Here is a 9,976-nt window from a genome sequence, read left to right as displayed (position 1 = left end):
AAAAATTAGTCAGGCGTGGCGGTGCATGCCTATAATTCCAGTTACTTGGGAGGCTGAGGCAGGAGAATCACTTGAACCCTGGAGGCAGAGGTTGCAGTGAGCTGAGATTGCACCACTACACTTCAGCCTGGGCGACAGAGTGAGACTCCATCTCAAGGGGGGAAAAATCTATTGCATTCCTGCTGAGAAGGTTGGACAAGTTAATTAATTTGTCTTTGCTCTTGCCTGAATGTTTCCATAGCTTACATTTTTCCTGCTTTTCAAAGCAGTGGTTATTTCTTCCCTGCAGTGGCAAAACCCACAAATTTCCATAGTATTTGGACACAGTTGCCTTTCATTTTGAAGACATAGTGCAAAGAATGTGGAGAAGTTTTTCCTTGGGACCTGAATGGTGTTTGGCCTATGAATAGATGTTTGGGATTACAATTTGTGCCATGTTGTGCTAAGTGCCAGATCTTGTGTGACAAAGGTGCCTTGTGCTCTTTAATCGATTTACTGTGTGTGTGATAAATAGGGCCTTCTCAAACAGTCCAAAAGTACACTTTTTGCCCCTGTCAAAGGGATGATATTGTGGTGAATATCTCTGAACATATGGCATTTAATTTGTGGTGGCTGCAGGATCGATTCCTTAAAAATCCAATTGTGTTAAAGTGTGTAGATATTTTAACTGCTGATAGATGTTACCAGATTGTTCTCCTTAGTGGTTGTGGCAATTTACAATTTCATTAGAAATGTAAGAGAATGGCTATTTCCCCACATCCTTGTTAAGAGTGTTTTATCAAACATTACAGATCTTTGCCCATCTGTTAGGTGAAAAATAATATAGAGCTGCAGTTTGAATTTACGTTTTTCTTATCATGGATAAGGTGAGCAGTTTTTCATGTATTTACATTGCTATTTATATTTTGTCTAGTAAATTGTTCATATGTTTTGCTAATTGTTTTCTATTGGATTATTCATCATTTACTTATTTATTTGTAGATGCTCTTCATATACTACAAAAATTATCTTTTTGTTATGAGTTGCAAAAATTTTTCTCAGGTTGGTTTTGTAACTTGTTTTTTGTTCTATATGGAGACTTTAAATATTCTTATGTAGTCAAATGTATTAATAACTTTTGGGTTTTTTAAATAATCCTTAGAAATGCCTTTCTGCACTTGAAGATAATAAAAAATAAAAATAAAATGCCTCTTCCTTTTTTCTTATAATTCTTTTAAGGTTTCATTTTTCACCTTCAAATCTTTTATCCATTTGGGAGATATTTTTGTGGAAATTGTGAAGTAGGTATCCAATGTAATGTTTTTCTCTGATGGATATTTTGTTGTCCCAATAGTATTGGGAAGTGAAACCAGCTCCAGGTTTCACTTATCCTCAATATCTTATCTTTACCATTGATTCAAAAATATCTTTAGCATATATACATTTCAATATGCTTTTGAGTGTTTCTCAGGTCTTTCCTAGTCTTTCATTTATCTGCATATTTGTTTTATGTTTTTGTACCATATTACTTAGTTATTGTAGCTTTATTTTACATTTTAATGTTTGGTAGGGCTAATCTTACATCATAATTCTTTTTCCCTGCAGAATCTTCTACTATTCTTCCTTCTTTCTCCCTTATAAACTTTAAATCAGTTATTTTATTTCCAAAAAAATCCCCTTGGTAGATTTTTGGGTTTGTGTAAACTACTAATCGGAATGAGAATTAACATCTTTATGATGATAAGATTTCCTTCTAAGAATGTGGTTGCCTTTCCATTAGTTTAAATCACTTTTGTTTGGGCCTTTTTAAAGACTTTTTCTTTTTTTTAAAGGAGTCTTGCTGTGTTGCCCAGGCTGGAGTGCAGTGGTGAGATCTCAGCTCACTGAAACCTCTGCCACCTGGGTTCAAGCAATTCTCCCTGCCTCAGCCTCCCGAGTAGTTGGGATTACAGGTGCCCGCCACCAAGCCTGGCTAATGTTTGTATATTTAGTAGAGATGGGGTTTTGCCACACTGGCCAGGCTGGTCTCAAACTCCTGACCTCAGGTGATCTACCTGCTTCGGCGTCCCAAAGTGCTGGGATTACAGGCGTGAGTCACCATGCCTGCCCTTAAAGACATTTTAACACTATTTTATATAGCTCCTGCACATTTGTTGTAAAGTTTATTCATAAGTATATTACATATATTTTTGCTTTTGTAAAATGAGGGTCTTTCCCATTATTTCTTGTAATTGTTATGTGTATACATGAAGGCTATTGATTTTTATATATTAATTTTTTTAGCAGTACCATACTGAATTCTCTTAGTGTTTATAATAATTCCTCAGTTTATTTTCTTGGGTTTCTAGGCAATCATTTTATTTGCAAATCATTTTTTTTCTGTCATTTATTTCATTTACCTAATTTCATTGCCTAGCTAGATGCTCCAGGGTAATATGAAATATTATGGCACAAGTGAACTTGTTCTAGATTTAGTGGGAATCTACTAGTATTTCCCTATTAATCGTGATATTAACTTTTGTGTTAATATATATGTTTACGTATTTATCATATTAATGAGGTGTCTGTTAATATTTTATCAGTTTTTTTAAAGTTAAGAATAGAGATTATATCTTATCACATGACCTTTTAGTACCCATAGAGATGGTCATATGTTTCTCCTCTCATCTGTTTAAACAATTTTTACTTTTTAAATTTGAATTTTATAAATAGATTTCCTAATATTTAACCCTAACCTTCCTTCAATTCCAGAGTAAATTCCCTTTGGTTATGATGTTTTATCCTTTTACAATGCTTTCTGAATTCTGTTTCTCCATGTGTTACAGTACTTCTACATTAATATTTGTAAGAAGGATTGGTCTTTTGTTTGAATTTTTAAAAATTGTGGCATAAATGTTATGTTAGCTTCTTGAAGCTCTTTTTTTCTATGTTCTGGAAGAATTGTCATTCTTTGTCTTGTCTGGTGTTGTTTGCCCTGGCCATGATTGGATTTTTAATTATTTAGGGTATGATATTTTGGGGTCAATACGTGTTTAATTACTGATTTGCCTGGAGTGAATCACTCAGCCAAATATTTTGCCATACAGAATTTTTAGCCACTTAAAAATACAGCGTCATATCTCGGCACAGCCATGCTTACTCCATCCTCCTAAGCCAAAATGGACCACATATTGACAAATCCCTACCAGTCCTCCAAGATCCTGTTCAAATGGCACCTTCATGAAGCCTTTCCTGTTCTTCCAATTCTTAGATGGTCTCTTTCTTTGAGGATAATTTTCCGATTTTCTTTATAATTTTTTTATGACACATCCCATTTTTCACATATTTTTCAACAGATTCATTAAATGTCTGCAGACATTAGACAAAATGCTCCCATAATGCTATACTATTTAATCCTTCCCACAGTCCTAAGATTTGAACACTTTCCAGATAAAGGGATGCCAATCTAGAGAGAGTCAATAATTTTTTTTTAGGTTACAAAGCTGATAGGCTTCAAAGCAGAAATGTAGCCCAATTCTGTCTGATTCCAAACCATATACTGTTTTCACCAGATCATGTTGTTAAAATAGAAGATCATCTTTATGATTATTTTGGGCATGCTTCTTTCTCCTCTATGAGATTCCAAGGCCCTGGGTCTGGACTGTGTCTTATTTCTTCTGGAATTCCCTATGTCTTCTTGCACATGGGAGGAAGAAAACAAAAGCTGATCAAATTGCTAGAAGTGAACAGAGCGAGTATCTCAAATTTCGTTCCAATAAAGCTTCAGAATGAATTATGGAATTTTGCTCATGCATTTAATCCCTATTTATAGTCCATTAATCCACACATTTATAAGTTCTTGGTGAAAGGCTTTTCAGAAGGATTTTTGAAGCTATGGAATATGGGGTTTGCTTTCATTGCCATCCAACTGTGGAGCATTCTGGTGGATATTCTCTGGGGCTAGGTCAGTGGGCAGAATTTCCAGTGTTAATTATCTGCATCCTATCTTGATGCTGGAAAACTGCAAGGTGTTGCTTGTCCATCACCTCCGGGGTGCCTGATTGCTTTCCAGGCAAGCCAGAGCCTCATCATACTTTCATCTAGAAGCGACAGCTTCCTCTTTTCAGTTCTCATAGAACTCTATCTGCACCTCTCCTTTGACCATCTCTCACTTCCTACCTGGCATTACAATCGTGTATGTGGATCTCTTATTTCCCTGATGTGTGGTAAGCATCTTAAGGTCATGGACCATGTCTGATTCATCCTCATGTTCCCCACTGTGCTCACTGGGTGCTTGGCACATAGTAGGAGCTCAATACAGTTTAAAAAAGTGATTAAAGTAGGTTCTAAATTCAGCAAATATTGCTCCTCCTATTTTACTGGTACCATTTCAGCATTTTTGCTGCTGCCCACTATTCATATGGGTGGTATGAGCTGAAATTGCTGAAGAGAGATGTAATTTCCCTTGTTAATATAATTACTACCATATATTATCACAGCGCTAAAGTCATAACATTCTCATTTTCAGTGGCCTATACACATCACCAGAATTATCTCTGGAGGAGAAATTTATCATGTTTGTTTTCAGTCTCAGAGTGAAATGCTGCCAAGTTTGGTGAATACGTGCTCAGCCCCGTTTGAGTGACAAGTGAGTGAATAAATGGGGACATTTCACCTCTCATGAAAAAAAAAAAAAACAACAAAAACCGTCAGGCTCTTATTTGCATCCAGATAATTTATTAACTGTTTGGATTCCTAATTCAGGGCAGGGGGAGGGTAGTGAGCATGCTTTTCTCTGCGGGTCTTTCATAGTTTGGGAAAATAATAAACGAGGAGCTGAAGAACCTGGAGAGGAAGGGGGAGGGGAAAGAATATTTACATTTTGCTCATTATGAGGGCAGCAGGCCCATCTGGGGCAGGCTAATGGCCTTGTCAGCTAAACTGAGGGTAGACAAGGACAAGATTTTCAACTGTGAGTGTGTGATCAGCCTGTAGTAGTCAATAACTCTAAGACATGCTTATTTTTCGTTTTGGGGAAAGAGATTCTGCTTCTAGCAGTCTTATCTCAGCCTGGGACTTAAAGGGGTCTTTAGCTGAAGCAAGACCAATCTGGTCCTTGTCATGTTCTTGGGTGGATAGAAGTGGGGCATCTAGGCTGGGTGTGGTAGCTCATGCCTGTAATCCCAGCATGCTGGGAGGTCAAGGTGGGAGGGTCACTTGAGCCCAGAAATTTGAGATCAGCCTGGGCAGCATAGTGAGACCCCATTTCTACAGAAAATTGAAAAATTAGTTGAGCATAGTGACATGCACCTATATTCCTATCTACTTGGAAAGCTGAGATAGGAGGATTGCTTGAGCCTAAGTTAAGTTAATGTTACAGTGAACTATGGTTACACCACTCTACTGCAGCCTGGGTGACAGAGCAAGACCCTGTCTAAAAAAAAAATAATAAAAGGCAGGACATCTGTTCTGCACTTTGGTATTGCTACTGGAAGGTCAGCCATGAGGTGCAGGCCTGGCGCTTCTGTGGCCATCCACGTCCTCTACCCAGAACTAGCTGAAGACAGCACCAGTGACAAGGTGGGTCCCTGCAGGGAGTCAGGGCCTCTCATCAGGGAATCTAGGCTGCAAGAAAGTGGCAGAGGCAAGTTCAGAGTCCAGGAGCTGGGGTATGGCTAGGATTTTAATAAGCCAAGAGAGGGCTCCTACAAAGAGACAGAACCTAAAATAAAGGGTTCCCAAGGAACAGACTCCAAACTTGGGCACTAGAACTTGTAACTACTTTACGTCTCCCTCAGAAACATCCATTTCCTAGCTGCATCATCTCCAAAGTCCTTGGCCTTGACCCTTCCTAGCTGTTCTTCGACTGCAGTGGCTTTCAATTCTGCTGTGCATTAGGGTTGCGCTGCGGTGTGTTATGCTAGGGAACCTATAAAAGAGAGATGTCCTGTCTTCTTCCCTGGACATGTATGTGTTTGTATATACGTGTATGTACACACAGATACATATTTTATAAATATAATGCAGACGTACACAGTTATGTATTTACCCCTAGGAGATTTGAATGCATAGTCAGGTCAAGAACTGCTATTAGATGTTGTGAGAGGAGGAAGTAGAAGCTTGAGCATCCCCTGGAGGCCAACAGGAACATTACCGGAACAGAAGCGCTCATGGCAAGTTCATAGCTTACAGCTACTATTTATGAAATACGGACTCTGTGCCAAACACTTTCTTTATGAACTCATCTGATTTCATATGTCTCTACAAAGTAGATTTTATTAATGCTATCTTAGAGATGAGAACGCTAAAGACCAAGGTCCCACAGTTGAACTGGACCTTGAACCCAAGTTAGGATGGGACCATTGCTTCCTTGATCTGCCTGATTCATATGGTTATTGTAATGATTTCAACCTGAGTTATAGGTTATTATAGTTTTAAGTTTAAGAGTTTGGGCTCTAGAATCAGACTTAAATATATTCAAATTCTGGCTTTGCAATTTAAAGCTAGGTGATTGGGACAAATTACTTAACTTCTTTGACTGTATTAGTCCGTTTTCAAGCTGCTGATAGACACATACCTGAGACTGGCTAATTTATAAAGAAAAAGAGGTTTAATGGGCTCACAGTTCCACATGGCTGGGAAGGCCTCACAATCAAGGTGGAAGGTGGAAGGTGAAAGGCACATCTTCCATGGTGGCAGACAAGAAAGAAGTGAGAACCAAGTGAAAGGGTTTCCCCTTATAAAACCATCAGCTCTCATGAGACTTATTCACTACCATGAGAACAGTATGGGGAAACCTACCCCATGATTCAATTATCTCCTACCGGGTCCCTCCCACAACATGTGGGAATTATGGAAGCTATAATTCAAGATGAGATTTGGGTGGGGTCAGAGCCAAATCATATCACTGACCCTCAGTTTTCTCACCTGTACAATGGGAATAGAATGGCTGAGATGCTTAAATGAGATAATTCTTGTGAAGCTTGTAGGATACTGGCTGGTTCAAACTAAGTAACTAGTAAGCATTTCCTGTTATCATCAGAACTGTCTCAGGAACCAGAAGCAGGTTAGGAAATACAGGTGTCGAGCTTAGAAACCCAGCTGTGAGGAACTGGAAAACATATTTCAGAAAGATGTATGGGGCATGCTGGTGCAGGCTTGTATGAACTTTCTATGCCAGTCTCGATAGGTTAGGACATGGGAAAAATGAGGAAACCTGCAAATAAAGTTAATCAATGATGCTCTTAGGTGCCTCCTTTCCCAAATTCCTCCTCCTTGAAACCCCTCCCCCCATTGCTCCTCCATCCTTTCTGTCTAATATGCTCTCTGCCAGCTGTGATTGAATGCTTGGATCCAATCTCAGGTGATAATGGCTTAAGAAGGTACCTGTCCTAGGAGTATTTTACCTTTTTTAAGAGATTCAATTAACCTTCAAGACCTGAAAGAATTAATCTGTAATGATATAATTTAAGGCCCTGTGAGGGGTAATGGGAAAATAGCATTGGGCGGAGGCTTTTTCCTTTGGTCATTCGAAATGGAATGCTGCTTTACCTGCTCAAGGGACTGCCACCAGATGGTCATCTGGATGGCAGGGACCACCTCCAATTTATCTTAGAATCCTCCCAAGTCTTGTGTTTGGCCGTAGGGACACAGTAAATTCTCAAAATCTTTTTATTGAGTAAAATTTACAGAACATATTTAGTTGTCATCTTAATGTTGCTTCTGTTTAGGTATTCCTGAATGCTTAATAAACTTTACTACAAGGTTTTGAAATGTGAAAACAATTAGTGAAGTAAGTGATTAAATTTTATACCCTTAATCATTTTAACTTTTTTACTCTGTGTTCATTTTTTTCACATGCATTCATTCAGCAAATGTATATGGAGTGTCTATTCTGTGCCAGTCGCTGGAGGAAACGTTTTGGGTTGAGGGTCTTCTTTCCAGACTCTTTGGGCTGGTTTTCTCCTAGTCTTCTTGAAGTTGGGCCATCTCTTTTTCAGCTCTTTCTTCACCATGTGAATGCCTAGCTTTTTGGATCTAGCTGTTCAGGCACCCTCTTTCTTAAGCTCCTGACTCTTTCCTAGTCTCACTGTAAGTGTATCTTGGAAGGGTGTTTATATTCTATGTATTCAAAAAAGGAAGTAAAAAAAAAAATCCATCAACCCTCAGGTAACAGTTAAATCTGATGGAGATTTCACCAAATGAATTATGGAGTCCATCTCTTACTTTTATTATTTAGAACCTAGTCTTGCTGTGACTCTTGGTGAACTTGCAGCTCTGATGTTAATAAATAACTCATCCTCGGTCACTTAGCTGGCTTCCAAAGGAGATTGTGTGCAGAATGTCCCCCCCACACCCCGCAGCTGTATTAGTGTGTGTTGAGGCCAGCCCTACATTTGGAGTAAAGGGTGAAAAAAACGTTAGTCATTGAATTTTCAGTGATAGTAGACCAGAGAACAATAACTTTGCATTTTGACCATTTTCACACATGTAGTTTTCACTTTCGGTTGCATTCATTTTAGTTTATTGTTTCAATTTTTCATGTTGGACAATTTTGACAGTTGAGAAGGCAGTGACTCTGGGGACCAGCTGTGTGAGCTTTAAAATATGAAAAGGGGGAAGGGATGACTGCATGATGACAGAGAGCAGAATGAGAGTAGTGGGGCCAATGTGGGAGGGTATAAGAGGAGACAGAAAGGCAGAGGAGACGACAGCATGAGGAAAAATGCCAAGTATGGAAATAGATGTCACTTCTTCCAGGGCCTGGCCAAAGCTCATATGATACTCTGTTATAGCCTTTCTGCAGCAACAATGCTCATTCAACATTGATTTATGGTGTTTGGGTTTACATAGCCCTGGCCACATACTGCAGAAAAGCAGATCACATGGAGGGTGGGTAGGGGAGAAAAATGTTTTAAGGTGCAACCCCTCTCTTGGCTATTTCCTGATTCTCTCTTGGGGCTGCTTTGTGAAGTGAGGTGGCAGAGGTAGTCTTTTTGTGCTGAGTGGTAGTAGGTGGAATGGGAGACGCATAGACTTTGGAGCCAAACAGACCCAGGTTGGAGTTCCAGTTCTGCCACTCACTGGCTGTGCCACTTAGGCCAAGTGGCTTCACTTCCCTGACTCTTCAGTTCGAAATCTGTAAAATGGAGATAATAATAAACATCTTGTAGGACATCAGTAACTATTAGCATTGACTTATTGCTGTGGTGGTTAATTTTATGTGTCGACTTCTTCACTGAACCACAGGGTGTCCAGATATCTGATTAAACCTTACTCTGGGTGTTTCCAGAAGAGATTAACATTGGAATTGGTAGACTGAGTAAAGCAGATCGTCTTCTCCAATGTGGGTGGGCATTGTCGAATCTGTTGAAGGCCTCAAGAGAACAAAAAGGCAGAGGAAGGGAGAATTTGCTTTTTTCTGCCTGACTGTTAGAGATGGGGCATCAGTCATCTCCCTGTCTGGGACCAGGATTTATACCAATAGTGCTCCTGGTTCTCAGGCCTTCAGACTCATACTGGAACTACATCACTGGCTTTTCTGGGTCTCTAGTTTACAGATGGCTGATTGTGGGGCTTTTCATCCTCCATAATGGAGAATGAACTCTTCATAAAGGAATTGAGCATGAGTCAATTCCTTATAATAAATCCCTTTAAACACACACACACACACACACACACACACACACATACACATTCCAATGGTTCTGTTTCTCTGGAGGACCTTGATTAATACACTTACTAATCTATGAAAATGGCAAATAATCAGTAAACAGCAGCCATTTTTAAGATAAGGAGTCCTATAAAATAGAAGCAAAGGTAATTTAGTTTTACCTGAGCTGACTCTAATTATGGGTGTATGTGAGTTGACAAAATTTATGATCACCTATTTTTACATATCCTTGTGTAGGTGTATTTTGACAGTAAATTCCTTTCAACGAGGATCGATAGAGTACCTACACTGTTACAAGCACAGTGCATATAAACAATGGTAAAACAGAGGCTCATGCATTCTAAC

At 39.2% G+C, this 9,976-nt stretch overlaps 2 annotated features.

Moving 5' to 3' along the window:
- Nucleotides 5,784-5,953: an enhancer, noted in NCBI's record as "experimental_31288 CRE fragment used in MPRA reporter constructs". NCBI's record gives its function as "activates a minimal promoter by MPRAs in K562 erythroleukemia cells, with activity observed for the introgressed 12:98621363 or rs10777915 variant allele {active_cell/tissue: K562}" and the evidence as "EXISTENCE:reporter gene assay evidence [ECO:0000049][PMID:34662402]".
- Nucleotide 5,868: a transcriptional cis regulatory region, noted in NCBI's record as "Neanderthal adaptively introgressed variant 12:98621363 (GRCh37/hg19 assembly coordinates) or rs10777915 in the experimental_31288 CRE". NCBI's record gives its function as "modulates activity of the experimental_31288 enhancer by MPRAs in K562 erythroleukemia cells {active_cell/tissue: K562}" and the evidence as "EXISTENCE:reporter gene assay evidence [ECO:0000049][PMID:34662402]".

This window comes from Homo sapiens, chromosome 12, assembly GCF_000001405.40.
Source record: "Homo sapiens chromosome 12, GRCh38.p14 Primary Assembly".
Classification (NCBI taxonomy): Eukaryota; Metazoa; Chordata; class Mammalia; order Primates; family Hominidae; genus Homo; species Homo sapiens.
This window is presented reverse-complemented; position numbering and strand designations above follow the sequence as displayed.